This window comes from Homo sapiens, chromosome 13, assembly GCF_000001405.40.
Source record: "Homo sapiens chromosome 13, GRCh38.p14 Primary Assembly".
Lineage (NCBI taxonomy): Eukaryota > Metazoa > Chordata > Mammalia > Primates > Hominidae > Homo > Homo sapiens.
Window position 1 is genome coordinate 37,183,063 of NC_000013.11, and position 16,855 is coordinate 37,199,917.

General features: G+C 37.9%; 1 annotated feature.

Annotated features, from left to right (window-relative positions):
- Positions 15,478 to 16,148: an enhancer, noted in NCBI's record as "OCT4-NANOG-H3K27ac hESC enhancer chr13:37772677-37773347 (GRCh37/hg19 assembly coordinates)". NCBI's record gives its function as "activates a minimal SCP1, AML or CMV promoter by ChIP-STARR-seq in naive H9 embryonic stem cells {active_cell/tissue: H9 hESC(naive)}" and the evidence as "EXISTENCE:reporter gene assay evidence [ECO:0000049][PMID:30033119]".

Here is a 16,855-nt window from a genome sequence, read left to right on the forward strand (position 1 = left end):
GTTTCTTAAGCTGATAAGCAACTTCAGCTAAGTCTCAGGATACAAAATCAATGTGCAAAAATCACTAGCATTCCTATACACCAACAGTCAAGCTGAGAGCCAAATCATGAATGAACTCCTATTCACAGTTGCTACAAAGAAAATAAAAGACCTAGGAATACAGCTAACAAGGGAAGTGAAGGACCTCTTCTAGGAGAACTACAAACCACTGCTAAAAGAAATCAGAAATTACACACAAAAAATTGAAAAACATTCCATGCTTATGGATAGGAAGAATCAATTTTGGTAAAATGGCGATTCGGCCCAAAGCAGTTTATAGATTCAGTGCTATTCCCATTAAACTACCATCGACATCCTTCTCAGCACTAGAAAAAAACTACTTAAAAATTCATATGGAACAAAAAAAGAGCCTGAATACCCAAGGCAATCCTAAGCAAAAAGAACAAAGCGAGAGGTATCACCTTACCCAACTTCAAACTACAGTACAGGGATACAGTTATCAAAACAGCATGGTACTGGTACAAGAACAGACATATAGACTAATGGAACAGAACAGGGAACCCAGAAATAAGATCACACACCTACAGCTAGGGAATCATTCACTATTTGATTGAAGGAATTGAGACTTTGCTGAAATTGCTTATCAGCTTAAGCTTTTGATCTTCCACAAACCTGACAAAAACAAGCACTGGGGAGATGATTACCTATTTAATAAATGGTGCTGAGAGACTTGGTTAGCCATATGCAGAAAATTGAAACTGGACCACTTCCTTACACTATATACAAAAATCAACTCAAGATGGATTAAAGACTTAAATGTAAAACCCCAAACTATAAAAACCCTAGAAGAAAACCTAGGCCATACCATTCAGGACATAGGCACAGGCAAATATTTCATGATGGAGATGCCAAAAGCATTTGCAACAAAAGCAAAAATTGACAAATGGAATCTAATTAAATTAAAGTGTTTCCACACAGCAAAAGAAACTATCAACAGAGTAAACAGACAACATACAGAATGGGAAAAAATTTTGCAAACTATGGATGTGACAAAGGTCTAATATCTAGCATCTATCAGGAACTTAAACAGATTTACAAAGGTCTAATATCCAGCATCTACAAGGAACTTAAACAGATTTACAAGAAAAAATCAAACAACCCCATTAACAAGTGGGCAAAGGACACAAACAAGCACTTCTCAAAAGAAGCCATATATGCAGCCGGCAAACATATGAAAAAAGGCTCAACATCACTGATCATTAGATAAATGCAAATCAAAACCACAATGAGATACCACCTCACACCAGTCAGAATGGCTATTATTAAAAACTAAAAAAAAATAGATGCTGGCAAGGTTGAGGAGAAAAAGAACACTTTTACACTGTTGGTGGGAGTGTAAATTACTTCAACCATTGCGGAAGACAGTGTGGCAATTCCTCAAAGACCTAGAACCAGAAATGCCATTTGACCCAGCAATTCCATTACTGGGTATATACCCAAAGGAATATAAATCATTCTATTACAAAGATAACGTGCATGTCTATGTTCATTGTAGCAATATTCACAGTAGCAAAGACATGGAATCAACCCAAATGCCCATCAATGATACACTGGACAAAGAAAATGTGGTGTGGTACAAAGAAAATATGTATCACACTATGGAATACCGTGCAGCTATAAAAAAGAATGAGATCATGTCCTTTGCAGGGACATGGATGGAGCTGGAGGCCATTATCCTTAACAAACTAACACAGGAACAGAAAGCAAATACCGCATGTTCTCACTTATAAGTGGAAGCTAAGTGATGGGAACACAGGGACACATAGACCAGGAAAAATAACTGATGGTCACTAGGCTCAATACCTGCATGATGAAATAATCTGTGCAACATACCCCATGACACACAGCTGTGTATGTAACAAACCTGCACATCCTGCACATGTACCCCTGAACTTAAAATAAAAGTTAAAATAAAATAAAATATCAAATCAAAAAAATATCAGAGTTGTTATTTTATTTGGGTATTGCAGTCTCTGTTTGAGTGAAAATAATTAGCTGGGACTATTGACTACTGCCAACCCTGGAACTTTTGTTCACTATTTAAATAAAAATTATTATATTAAGGACTTTGAAACTACTGCTGCACAATTGACTTATGAAATAATATATGTTAGAAGAATAAAATGAACAATTATTAAATGAAAAGTAAGTGACGGTTGGCTTGTTGTTTTAAAAATAAAAACATTTCTATGTCAATGTATAAATCATAGGGAATAGAAATGCCATTTTAACCTGCAAGTTGACTAATAATTTAATTTAAATTAGTAAATATTTATTTAGTATTTTAAGGAACATCTCTAGGTGTTAAAGAGATAAACAATAATGTGTTTTTTTGGGCTTCCAGAGGTTTACACTTCAGCAGGAATATTTTGTAAACCATGCTATATAGTGTGGTGAATGCTCTATTAGCACAAGCAAATATATCTGTTACAAGCAATATCAGCAGCTAAAAATACAAGTAAAATTTCACAGAGAGGAATTATTAAAAATTCGTGAGACAGAATGGAGGGATGGTATGTATGGGGGAAAGGCATTTTAGGCAAAGGGAACAACAGAAAAAGCATGAAAACATAAAAAGTGGTGTGTTTGGGAATATGTCATTGTAATGTAGAGTATATGTCTTAGCTCAGGCTGTTATAACAAGAATACCATATACTGGGCGGCTTAAACAACAAACATTTATTTTTCACAATTCTGGAGGCTGGGAAGTCCAAGATGAAGACATTGGCAGGTCTGGCGTCTGGTGAGGGTTTCTTTCATGGTTTGCAGACAGTTGCTATATCCTCACATGGTTGAGACACAGACAGACAGACAGAAAGACAGACAGAAAGACACACACACACACACACACACACAGAGAAAGAGAGAGAGAGAGAGAGAGAGAGAGAACCTAAGCTTTCTCGTGTCTCCTTTTACAATAAGGGCACTTATCCCAACATGAGGGCTCCGCTCATGACCTAGTTACCTCTTAGACCATCTCCAAATACCATCATGCTGGGGATTAAGGTTTCAACATACAAAGTTTGGAGAGACACAAACATTCAGTCCATAGCAGTGTAATACATAAGGATAGGTTTAAAATTCAAAAAAATAAGTTGGGGGTAAGATTTAAGGTAGTATTGACAGCAAAATTATAGATTTTGTCTAAAGCAACATGAAGACTTACTTATGACAGTGAACCCAGTCATATTTATGTTTTAGAAAGATAGTTTTGGTAATATTATGCAGAATGGATTAGAAAGAGGAAAGGTTAGGACAGGGAGACCAGTTAGAAGACTATTTCACAGGTCTCAGTAAGAGAGGTTGAGGGCCTGAGGTAGGGCTTGAGGAGGAAATATAGAGGAGGGAATAGATTGGAAAGGTATTATTTAGGTAGAGTTATCTGGGGACAATGTCACGTGGTAATGAGAGAGACTGAGGAGCCAGGAAATGCTCATAAAAGCTGCATAGGAGGAAGACAATCATTTAACCAAGTAAGGGCAAGAGTGCAATTTATGTTCGTTCAAGTTGTTTGGTTGAGAAAGGAGAAAATAGGATTTTTTTTTTTTTTAGAAAATTAAGTTTTTGCTTATTTGTTTTTTTTAAAGATTGGGGCTAAGCCACATACAGAGAGAATGTTTATAAGATACAGAGGAGAGAAATATAAAAAGTTCCTACTTGATCGTTGTTGCTGTAGGTTAGCCCAGGCCACACAGAAGGATTGTAACAGTGTATGAGTGACAGTCTGGAGTCCTTGGCACATATATTTCTACTTTACTTTGTCATGGGCGACCTTGCTATTGACCCCCATTTGTTACATTCTTCTACTGGTTCCCCTACCTAGTTCTGGTCTACTTTACTTCTCCCCTGTGACTGCTCTCCTTAAACTCTGATGAGCATCCTCTGATTATAGCTGAAAGAGAAAAAGGGAATTTATTAGGAAGGTACATGGGTGCCTTGCAGAAGTCAAGGGCAGGCAGGTACTGGACCCAGGCACTAAAAATGCAGGAGGATCCTCACTTACTAGAACATGTGCATTTCTGACATTCTTCTTTCTTTGTCTTTGCAGAATGGATTCCTCTGCTTTGCTGGAGGAAGTATGGTAGGTGGAAGATGCCAAACCACAGTACCCAAGCTTCACATGTGTCTAATAGGTCCAATTATATCAAAAAGACTAACTTCCCTCAGGCCTAATCTTAACTAATTGTCTCAGCCTGGATCTAGTGCCCAAGTCTGTTCCAACCAACAGCGGTCAATGGAATGGGTCTCATTGTACAAGCATGACTCATCAGAGCTCAGTATGGGGACATGTTCATGGGGCAGAGGGAGAAGCAGTGCTATGTTTTGTGCATAGATGCTGGGCTGGCAACACAATGGCTTACGGTCATCACACACTGGTATACTCCTGATCTCCTATACCTAACTGTCAATTCTCATTTAGATGGGTTGCCAACCATTAAAACCTTACTAGTTATTTATCTGAGCATTTATGATATAATATATTTTTATTAGGAGAATTATATATTGTATAACATATAATAGGAGTATTATATATAACAAAGCAGAAATATTTTTAGTAATAAGAAAAAGGATACTTAGACTTTAACAACTGAGACAACATCTTAGTCTTTCCACTCCAGACTGTACAGGAAATTCCTCATCAAATTTCTGAAAACCATTCTCAGACATTATCCATTTTTTATAGTCCTGTCATCTCTTAGTCTTCAAACAGCAGGGATGTTCTTTTCTATAAAACCATATGCTTTTGTTGGAGTAATGAGCTAGAAATAGAAATTAATTCCAACTGGTGATTCTATGCTTTCCTGTAACTAAAACATTGAAAATAAGACTTATCTGACCACACAAGCCTAAAGTAATACAGAAATTTCTTAGAGTTACTAGTGCACTATAGCTTGGCCATGCAGCAAAGTTTAGTAGAAATGATTGATGTATTGTTTTGTCACCTCAGAGTCAACAATAATTGCTGACATTTATAAAGTATCTTTTATTGCAAAATATGGCAACATACCAGAATCTCTGGGACACAGCTAAGGCAGTGTTTAGAGGGAAGTTTATAGCACTAAATGCCCACATCAAAAAGTTAGAAAGATCTAAAATTGACAACCTAAAGTCTCAACTAAAAGAACTACAGAAGCAAGAGCAAACCAACCCCAAAACCAGTAGAAGACAGGAAATAACCAAAATTAGAGCTCAACTGAAGGAGTTGAGCTCTAAAACACCATACAAAAGATCAACAAATTCAGGAGTTGATTATTTGAAAAAAATTAATAAGATAGATGGACTTCTAGCTAGAATATTGAAGAAAACAGAGAAAATCCAAATAAACGCAATTAGAAATGACAAAAGGGGACATTACAACTGACCCCACAGAAATACAAATACTCATCAGAGACTACTATGAACACCTCTATGCACACAAACTAGAACATCTAGAGGAAATTAATAAATTCCTGGACACATACATCCTCCCAAGATTGAACCAGGAAAAAGTGAATTCTTGAACAGACCAATAACAAGCTCTGAAATTGAATCAGTAATAAATAGCCTAGAAACCAAAAAGAAGCCTAGGACAAGACAAATTAACAGCTGAATTTTACCAGCTGTACAAAGAGAGCTGGTAGTATTCCTACAGATACAATTATAAAAAAATTGAGGAGAAGGGACTCCTCCCAAACTCATTCTATGAGTTCTGCATCATTCTAATACCAAACCTGGCTGAGACACCACAACAACAAAAACAATAGCAACAAAAACTTCAGGCCAATAACCTTGATGAACATAGATGTAAAAATCCTCAACAAAATACTGGCAAACTGAATCCAGCAGCACATCAAAAAGCTAATCCACCATGATCAAGTAAGCTTTATCCTTTGGATGCAAGGTTGGTTCAACATATACAAATCAATAAATGTGATTCATCACCTAAACAAAAGTAAAGACAAAAATCTCATGAGGGCTGGGTGCGGTGGCTCATGCCTACAATCCCAACATTTTGGGAGGCCAAGGCTGGCAGATTACCTGAAGTCAGGAGTTCAAGACTAGCCTGGCCAACATGGAGAAACCCTGTCTCTACTAAAAAATACAAAAATTAGGTGGGTGTAGTGGTGCACACCTGTAATCCCAGCTACTTGGGAAGCTGAGGCACGAGAGTCGCTTGAACCTGGGAGGTAGAAGCTGCAGTGAGCTGAGATTGAGCCACTGCACTCCAGCCTGGGTGACAGAGTGAGACTCTGTCTCAAAATAAAACAAAATAAAATAAAATAAAATCACACAATTATCTCAATAGATGCAGAAAATTTTTTCAATAAAATACAACATCCTTTCAGGTTAAAAACCCCCAATAAACTAAGCATTGAAAAAACACACTTCAAAATAATAAGAGCCATCTATGACAAACCCACAGCCAGCATCATACTGGATGAGCAAAACCTAGAAGCATTCCCCTTGAAAATCTGCTGCCTCTTTCACCACTCCTATTCAACATAGTATTGGAAGCTATGGCCAGATCAATCAGGAAAGAGGAATAAATAAATGACATCCAAATAGAAAGAGAGGAAGTCAAACTATTCCTGTTTGCAGATGACATGATTTCATATCTAGAAAACCTCATAGTCTCTGCTCCAAAGCTCCCTGAGCTGATAAACAACTTCAGCAAAGTTGTAGGATACAAAATAAATGTACAAAACCCAGTAGCATCCCTATACCCCAACAACATGCAAGCTGGGAGCCAAATCAGGAATTCAATCCCATTCACAATTGCCATGAAGAAATACCTAGGAATACAACTAACTAGGGGGATAAAACATCTCTTCAATGAAAATTACAAAACACTGCTGGAAGAAATCAGAGATACACAAACAAATGGAAAGACATAACTTGCTCATAGATAGGAAGAATTAATACTGTGAAAATTGCCATACAGATTCAATGCTATTCTTATCATACTAACAATGACATTCTTCACAGGATTAGGAAAAAAAAAGATTCTCAAAGGAATATAAATCATTCTACCATAAAGACACACACACGTGAATGTTCATTGCAGCACTATTCACAATAGCAAAGACATAGAATCAACCTAAATGCCCATCAATTACAGATTGAATAAAGCAAATGTGATACATATACACCATGGAATACTATGCAGCCATGAAAAAGAATGATATCATGTCCTTTGCAGGAACATGGATGGAGCTAGAGTCCATTATCCTTAGCAAACTAGCACAAGAACAGAAAATGAAATACCTCACTTATAAGTGGGAGCTAAATAATGTGAACCAATGGGCACAAAGAGGGGAACAACAGACACTGCAGCATTTTTGAGGTAGGAGGTAGGGAGGAGGGTGAGGGTCAGGAAATATAACTACCAGGTACTATGCTTAGTACCGGGGAAACAAAATGATCTTTACACCAAACCCCCATGACATGAGTTTGCCTATATTAACAGACCTGCACATGTACCCCTGAATCTAAAATAAAAGTTTTAAAGAAATAATTAGTGGAGTATCACATTTAAGGCAGGGAGCATCAAATTATCATTCCCCAAAGGATTTTGAGGACAGAGAATGAAAGAAAAAAATATGTAGGTCAGGGGAGTGCAAAGAGGATGGGGTAAGTAGGTCTTATTGCTCTTATTCAGGCTAATATGTAAGATAGCCATTTCTTCTCTGCTCAAAGTAGCTACTAATTGGTAAGAAAAAAAGTCAACTTGTTTTTGCAGAAAATTTTGGGAGAAGACAAAAATGGCAATTTATTTTACTTCCTGGCTTAGTCTAGTAATGAGTATTAATATCTTTCTTCTTTCCTTCTAGTTTCTCTCTCCAGGGAAATGACTTTATCAGGTGGCATCATTATAAACGATATCATTAGAAACCAGATATTTAAAATCTTTAATACATTTCTAAACCATTGCTGTGGCATTGCCTCTGGCTTTGTTTGAGTCTGTGCCATTAGCCTTTCATTACACCTCAGGTAGGAGAAGGTTGTGTTGGAGAGAAATAATTATGCTTATTCCCAAGCCCAGGGGATGGGACATTTGGTGGTAGGAATAAAAACAGGTCACAAAACTAAGAAAGATGTCTAGGTAGAGTAGAGATTATTGTCCTACTTATTTCTTATTTCTGTTCATAAAAAAGAAATCAAGGGCCAAGTATGTCTTTGACTGAAGAAGGACTTCATCTTTGGAGAGCTGAAGAACTCCAGGTTGACTACCATGGGCAAAGGTTTAAGATGGGCCTGACATCCAATAGAGAATCTTCTACTTGGAAAATACTCCACAGATATTTGCTGTGTTGGATAAATATGTCTACTAGAGACCGGCTTTGGTGCAGGTTGAAAGAGAGTACAGAAGAGTTAGACATCAGACTACCACACAGTCCAGGCTATCTCACCAGAGTAGAAAGGCAGAGATTTGTAACTAGACACCGTACATTGAAATAAAGATTGCCTATTTGATTGGTTTGAACCCTGGTATCTCATAAAGATGTCAATATCATAGTAGAGATTTGGCTAAGATACATTTCTAGTAGAGTCAAGGGAGAAACTCTAACATGATGTCTGATGCCAGCTCTCTGGTTTAGAATGAAACGCTTTAGTAATTTACTAAATTGCTCCTAGGTTGAAAGAGCTAGTTTAACTTATTCACCTATTCTGAAACCATCTATTGTGTATTTACTATATGCTAAGCCTTGACAGTACTAAGATAAATAATATCTATTTCCTATCTTTTAAAGAATCATAGCATAGAAAGAGACAAAATCAGAGGTAGCCAGCCTCACTGAGATGTGATCAGTACCATAATGGAGACAAAAACCTGTGAGAACCTACATGAAGAAGGGAATAATATTGCATGGGGAGAGGAGGGAGCTGGGAAAGGTGAATTGATGCATATACTTAACTTTCTGCCAGCCTGTAAATAATGGACAAGACTAAAATAGATCTGTCTTTTATTGTACTCTTCTTTACTTAAGTTGGGTCTATTGCTAGATGTTTTGGGGTTAGTAGGGCAGGAGCAGAGTGTAAGTAAGGGCAGATACATTTGGAATCTGATCACCTGACGCCTCCTAGGCCTGAACAGGAACCTTGAATTAATATTGAGACCCAAAGCTCAGGACTTACTATGGATTTTTTCTCCCAGTTTTGGCACACATATCAGATGGTTTTTGGGTATGATGTACTCCAGACTCTCATGTCTCTCACATATCATCTCTCTCAACTCATAACAAGCAAAAAGACTGGGAGTGGGAGGATACTCCAGGGACAACTCAATTGGAGAAGGAGGCTCTGCTGCTTCACCAAGTCAGGGATACACTAGAGGATTGTCATAGGTCATTATGTCAATTATTACAGTTAACTTGTATTGATATGAAATATAAGTAAATAGTAGCATGATTTGATGTTTGGGAAATAACTTCACTGTCTCCCTAAAAAGAGTTTGGTTGATATACTCTGCCTTTGCAGTGGGGAATTGGTGTTTATAGTTCCTCCTCCCTCTGAGACAAGTCAAGCCTCATAATATAGAAAAATGACAATATTATAAAATTAAAAGTCCATACATAAGTCAACAGACACTATCTAATGAAAGCACAGAAGAAAAATCTAGCCTCAGACATAGTTTATAGTTCTTTATATCTGATTTATTTATATCTTGTTATATTGACAGTATGATGTACTTCAGACTCTCATATCTGCCTCTTCCACCCTCCCATCTCAACACAAGGGTAGAGAGATACAAAAGGTGAAATAGTTGGGAGGAAGTGTGATCTGATTCATCAGCAGAATCACAGATGCTTTAGTCTTGAAAAGCCCTTTCAACATGGCAGAAATTTCTGTGCTGTGATTCTGTCTTTGCTTTTTTGTAAAATGTCAGAATGGATGTCTAGTGGTGCAGTTGATACTGTGTTAGAACTAACTTCATGTCCTGCAGAGGCAGGCTCCCTGTTGGGAACACAAATCATTTGGGAAGACCTCCCTTCCACCAGAAACCCTAGGGGATGACTGATTCTTACAGGCATGGAGACACGAATCTCACTGCTCTTGCCAACTTTTTTTCCTCAAAGCAAAACACCCAATTTCTGAGGAACTGAGTGAAGATGAGAACCAGGCAGTGGAAATCAGGTTCTGCAGCTATGTGCTGTCCTCTGCATGTTTGGAGGCGTGAGTGAAGTTTCCCTTTGGCCATTTACAGAAAGACTTGAATTTAGGAGATAAAAGCATACTTCAAATCTTACATTTGGCTCAGCTATATCAGTAACTTAAAAGCAGATGCCCTTGCATACTTTCCTTGATTTTCAAGAATACAACAACAAATCAGAACAATCAGAGCTGGAATTATGCAGCATTCATTCACTTAACTATTTATTCAACAAACATTAAAAGTTCTCTGTGTATCAAGCTGTGCTATTTCCTGGAGATATAGTAAGAGAAAATAGAATGAGGGACCCTGGCTTAGACAGAAATTGTCAGGGGACCCAGGCATGTGGTGGCTGAGAATTACCTAAAAAAGAGGTGAAGGACAGCAAAGGCAAAGAAGTCCAGGCAGAGGACCTGGTGAGGGGTCCAAGATGGAAAAGGGCATGGGGGATGGAAGAATGAAAGACCAGGATTCACTGGGGTGGCAAAAGCAAAAGCAAAAATGAGGCCATAGAGGGAGCTTAGCACACGACACTTCTATATACCTGGTTGATCATTTCAGTAGAAGAAAGTCATCTCCTCTAATCCACCTCTTTCACATCAGCTCTATCACTTGTATACACTTTTCCCCATACCCATTGACACTGCTCTGGTTTACCACTCCACTGTCTGCAGTGCAGTGAATTCTTGTTCTTTTCTTTTCTTTTTTTGGTTTTTAAAATCTTATTTATTTATTTACCAATACATAATGTTTGTATATATTGATGGGATACATGTGATATTTTGTTCTATGCATAGAATGTGTAATGATCAATCGGGATATTTAGGTTATCCATTACTTTTATCATTTGTTGTTTCTATGTGTTGGGAATGTCTCCAGTAGCTATTTTGAAATACACAATATATGGTTGTTAATTATAGTCACCCTACCCTGCTATTGAACATTAGAACTTACTCCTTTGATGGTTTTTAAAATTCTTTATTGAGATACAATTCACACCCCATTAAATTCACCCATTCAAAGTGCACAATTCAGTGGGTTTCAATATATTCACAACATTGTGCGACCATCACCAAGATCTAAGTTTAGAATATTTTCATCACCTTGAGAAGAAGCTCTTTATGCATTAACAGTCAATCCCCTCTTTCCATAGCTACATCCTCTCCCAGCTCTAGGCAACTTCTAATCTACTTTCTATTTTGTCTGTGTAGATTTGCCTATCCTGCTCATTCCATATAAATGGAATCATATAAAGTGTGGTCTTTCGTGACTGGCTTCTTTCACTTGGCATAACATTTTCAAGGGTCATCATGTTGTAGCTTGTGTCAGTAATTCACTACCTTATATAGCTAAATAATATTCCATTGTAAGAATATAACACATTCTTTTTATCTGTGAATCACTTGGACATTTGGGATTGCTTCCACTTTTGAATCATGCTGCTATGAACATTTGTGACACATTATTGTGTACACATATTTTTATTTATCTTGGATATATACCAAGGAAGAAAATTGGTGGGTAATATGGTAATCTTTTTATGTTTAACCTTTCTGACAAGCTGCCAAACTCTGTTCAAAAGAGTCTTCACTGGCTTTCTCTTCCCAACAACAATGAATGAGCGTTCCAATTTCTTTACCTCTTTACTGGCACTTGTTGTTGTCTGTCTTTTTGAGTATATATCATTGAAGGGTAATGAAGATAAATCATGAAGATAAATTGTAAAACCTCTTATGGTTTGATTTGCACTTCCCTAATAACTAGTGATGCTGAACATCTTTTCGTGTGCTTGTTTTATGTGCATTTGCGTATCTTCTTTGGAGAAGTGTCTGTTCAAATCCTTTGCTCATTTTAAACTGGATTATTAGTCTTATTATTTTAATAATTTCAACTTTTATTTTAGACTCAGGGGTATATGTACAGGTTTGTTACATGGGTATATTGTGTGATGCTGAGGTTTGAGGTATGAATGGTCCTGTCACCCAGGTAGTGAGCAAAGTACCTTATAGATAGGTTTTTAGCCCTTCCTCCCTTCGAACTCCATCCCCTCCAGGAATCCCCAGCGTCTATTGTTGCCATCTTTATGTCCACATGTACCCAATGTTTGGATCCCACTTATAAATGAGAACATACAGTATTTGGTTTTCTGTTCCTGCATTAATTCACTCAGGATAATGGCCTCCAGGTGGATCCATGTTATTGCAATGGACATGATTTTGTTCCTTTTTGTGGCTCTGTAGTATTTCATGGTGTATATGTACCACGTTTTCTTTATCAAATCCACCATTGATGGGCACCTAGGTTGATTCCATGTCTTTGCCATTGTGTATAGTGTTGTGGTTACCATATGAGTATGTGTGTCTTTTTGGTAGAATGAATTATTTTTCTTTGGATATATACTTAGTAATGGGATTTCTAGGTTGAATAGCAGTGCTGTTTTAAGTTCTTTGAGAAATCTTCAAACTGCTTTCTACAGTGGCCAAAATAATCTATTAATATATTCCCATCAACAATGTCTAAGCTTTCCCACTCTCGTCAGCATATGTTATTTTTCGACTTTTTAGTAATAGCCATTCTGACTGGTGTGAGATGGTATGTAATTGTGGTTTTGATTTGCATTTCTCTGATGATTAGTGATGTAGAGTGTTTTTCATATATTTGTTGGCTGCATGTATGTCTTCTTTTCTGAAGTGTCTGTTCATGTCCTTTGCCTCCTTTTTTTTTTTTTTTTTTTTTGAGACAGAGTTTCGCTCTTGTTGCCCAGGCTGGGGTGCAATGGCGCGATCTCGGCTCACCTCAACCTCCGCCTCCTGGGTTCAAGAGATTCTCCTACCTCAGCTCCTGAGTAGCTGGGATTACAGGCATGTGCCATCACGCCCAGCTAATTTTTTGTATTTTTAGTAGAGACAGGGTTTCTCCATGTTGGTCAGGCTGGTCTCGAACTCCTGATCTCAGGTGATCCGCCTGCTTTGGCCTCCCAAAGTGCTAGGATTACAGGTGTGAGCCACCACACCTGGCTGTCTTTTGCCTACTTTTCAATGAAGTTATTTGTTTTCTTTGCTTGTTGAATTGTTTGAATTCCCTATAGACTCTGGATATTAGACCTTTGTCAGATACATATTTTGCAAATACATTCTCCCATTCTGTAGGTTGTCTTTTTACTCTGTGTATAGTTTCTTTTTCTGTGTAGAAGCTCTTTAGTTTATTTAGGTCCTACTTACCTATTTTTATTTTTGTTGCAATTGCTTTTGAGGACTTAGTTATAAATCCTTTTCCAAGTTTGATGTTCAGAATGGCATTTCCTAGGTTTTCTAGGATTCTTATAGATTGAGGTCTTACATTTAAATTATTAATCCGCTTTGAGTTAATTTTTGTATATGGTGAAAGGTAGGAGTCCAGTTTCATTCTTTTTTTCTTTAAGAATGCTGAAAAATAGGCCCCTAGTCTCTCCTGGCTTATAAGGTTTTTGTTGAGAAGTCTGCTGTTAACCTGATAAGGTTCCCTTTGTACATGAGCTGACCTTTTTCTCTAGCTGCCTTTAAAATTTTTTCTTTAGTTTTGACCTTGGAAAGTGTCATGACTATATGCCCTGATGATGTCTGTTTTGTATAGTATCTCACAGGTATTTTTTGGATTTCTTGTATCTGAATTTCTATATCTGTAGCAAGGTTAGGAAAATTTTTGTGAATTATTCCTCAAATATATTTCCAAGTTGTTTACTTTTTCTTCTGTCTCAGGAATGCCAATAATTCATAGGTTTGGCCACTCTATATAATCACATATTTCTTGAAGACTTTGTTCATTTAAAAAAAAATTCTTTAAAAAAATTTTTGTCTGACTGCCTTAGTTTGAAAGATTGATCTTCACGCTCTGAAAATCTTCTTTCTGCTCTGTCTTGTCTATTGATAAAGATTTCAATTGTATTTTGAAATTCCTGAAGTGAAAATTTCAATTCTAGAAGCTCAGATTTGTTTTTAAGATGTTTATCTCTTCCTTCACTTCCTGGATTGCTTTGGAAGTTTCTTTGTTTTGATTTTAATCCTTGTCACAAATCTCATTGAGCTTCTTTGCAATCCATGTTTTGAATTTTTTATCTATCATTTCTGAGTTTCCATTTTGGTTAGGGACCATGTTGGAGAGCTACTGTGATCCTTTGGCGGTATCAACAATAGTCATATATATATATATATATATTTTTTTTTTTTAATGATGCCAGAATTCTTGCAGTGGCTCCCTCTCATCTGGAGATATGCCTCACACTTTGAATATTTGTAATTATTTTCTTGTATATAGGATGTTTTTTCCTTCCTTTCTTTCTCTATAATATTATTATCATCATTTTTTCTTTCTCTTTTTCCCCCTCTAGAGGGTGTGATTGTAGAGAATGCCGGATAGGATCTTTTGACTTTGCTTCTATAGCCCTATGCACTTCTTTTGGCAGGTTTTGTATTGGGGTCCATGGTTTGACCTATAATCCAGTAGACGGCACCAGTAAGAGCCAGCTGTGGCAAATATGGCTGGGTATATACTTGATCCTTGTTTACTAGGGGAAGCTCTCTGTCCTCAGGCAATGGGCTGTTCTAAGGAGTGCACAGTGGTCTAAGCTCCCTGCTCAGCCCCAGTGTAGGGTACCAAGATGGGTGGGGCCAGACTGGCCAAGCCTACCTACAGGACCCTCAATGGCAGGCAGAAGCACCAGTGCTGAGGAAAGTCCACATGGCCACCAAGTGCCCAGGGGTGTGCCTAGGCATGGAGTGGGGTAAACCTTTGCTCCGAGTTCTATGCATGGTAGTGGGGAGTGGCCTAAACTAATCCAAGAGAGTGGGCACTCTGGATGACTGGAGACCTGCGTGGGCGTGGAGTGTGGAGACTGCACTAGATCTCTGCATAGAAAGGGTGGGACATCTCAGGATAAGAAGTGCTCCAAATGCCTGAAGATATGCCTGGGGGTGGAGTGGAGAGGGCCCTATTACACCAAGGTCTCTGCTCAGGAAAGGAGGACTCAGGCTGTTAATCCAGGTGAGTGGATGCTATGAAATTACTGGAGATATGCCTGGGGGTGAGCAAAGAGGGCCCCCTGCACCACTATCTCGGGAAAGCAGGCTGGGCATCCAGCTATGACACACAAAGATCCATTCCAGATTGACAAACTGGCCCTGGCTGCAAGTCTCATCACCCAGTAGAAACTGTAGCTGCAGTAGCTCTCCTCCCACTGCAGACCTATGACTGGGGAGAGCACAATTTCAGCACATACTTCTGGGGGTGTTTTCCACACTCACTACTCAATTCTCACTGCGGAGACCCCTATCCCACTCCAAAGGAAATGCCCCAAATTTTGGCCCAAGACTAAAATGCCTGTGTGGCTAGGCTGCCAGGTCACCAAAGAATGACTTTGTATGAACCTGGAGTAAAAATGGCATCCTGCCCTTGGTCCTGGGTCTGAAAAAATGCCAGCAGCTTTTCCTGTCTTTCCCTCTCAGTGTCACCAAGCCTCTCCTCAAGTTAGCTCCAGGGACTGGGGGAAACAAAGTGCTCCTCCTTGGCCTGGGTTACAAGGATCCCCAGTGGAAAGGTGAGTCACAGAGACTCTGCACCTCCTGGGGTTTCATTCACTTTTATCAGTGAGATGTCGTCCCAAGGGCTGTTTGCTTGCATTCTCCTCCCTGGGATCTGGGGTGTCCTTTGTTCTTCTGATGGATTCCTGTTTTCTTTCTTCAATTGAAGCTCACAGAGCTGATGGTTTATGCACTATTTTGGTATTTCCAAGTAGCTGAGGCATGCTAAAAGCCTCTGCTTCACTATCTTAGAAAAACAACAACAACAAACTAATCTTTTTATTATTGAGTTGTAAGAGTTCTTTGTAAATTCTGGATATAAGTCCCTTATTAGATATATAACTTGCAAATATTTTCTCCCATTCTGTTAGTTCTCTTTTTGCTCTCTTGATGGTTTTGTTTATTGTACAAAACTTTTAAAATTGTAATGTAGTTCAATTTATCTAATTTTTTTTTTGGTCATTTTGGCTCTTGGTGTCATGTCTAAAAATCATTGCCTAACCCAATGTCATGAATATATATTCTTATATTTTCCTGTAAAAGCTTTATTTTAGTGCTTACATTTAGGCTTATAATCAATTTTCAGTTAATTTTTGTTTTAATATGAAACTGGGTTTAACTTCCTTCTTCTGAATATGTACATTTGTCCCAGTACCATTTGTTGAATAGAGAGTTCTTTCTCCATTGCTTAATTTTTCCCTTGCTGAAATTGTAATGACACACTTTATTCCTGAACTTTGAATTTTTGTTTGGAACAAGAATATAAATTTCTGCAAAAAAAGCCAATTAAACCTCTTTTCTTTATAAATTACCCAGTTTTAGGTATTTCTTTATAGCAGTGCGAGAACAGACTAATACAATTAGTGATGCTGAGCATTTTTTTCATATGCTTGTTGGCTCCATGTATGTCTTCTTTTGAAAAGTGTCTGTGCATGTACTTTGCCCACTTTTTAATGGAATTGCTTGTTTTTTGCTTATAAATATGTTTAAGTTCCTTATAGATTCTGGATATTTGACCTTTGTCAGAGGCATAGTTTGTAAATACATTCTCCCATTCCGTAGGTTGTCTATTTACTTTGTTGATAGTTTCTTTTGCTGTGCAGAAGCT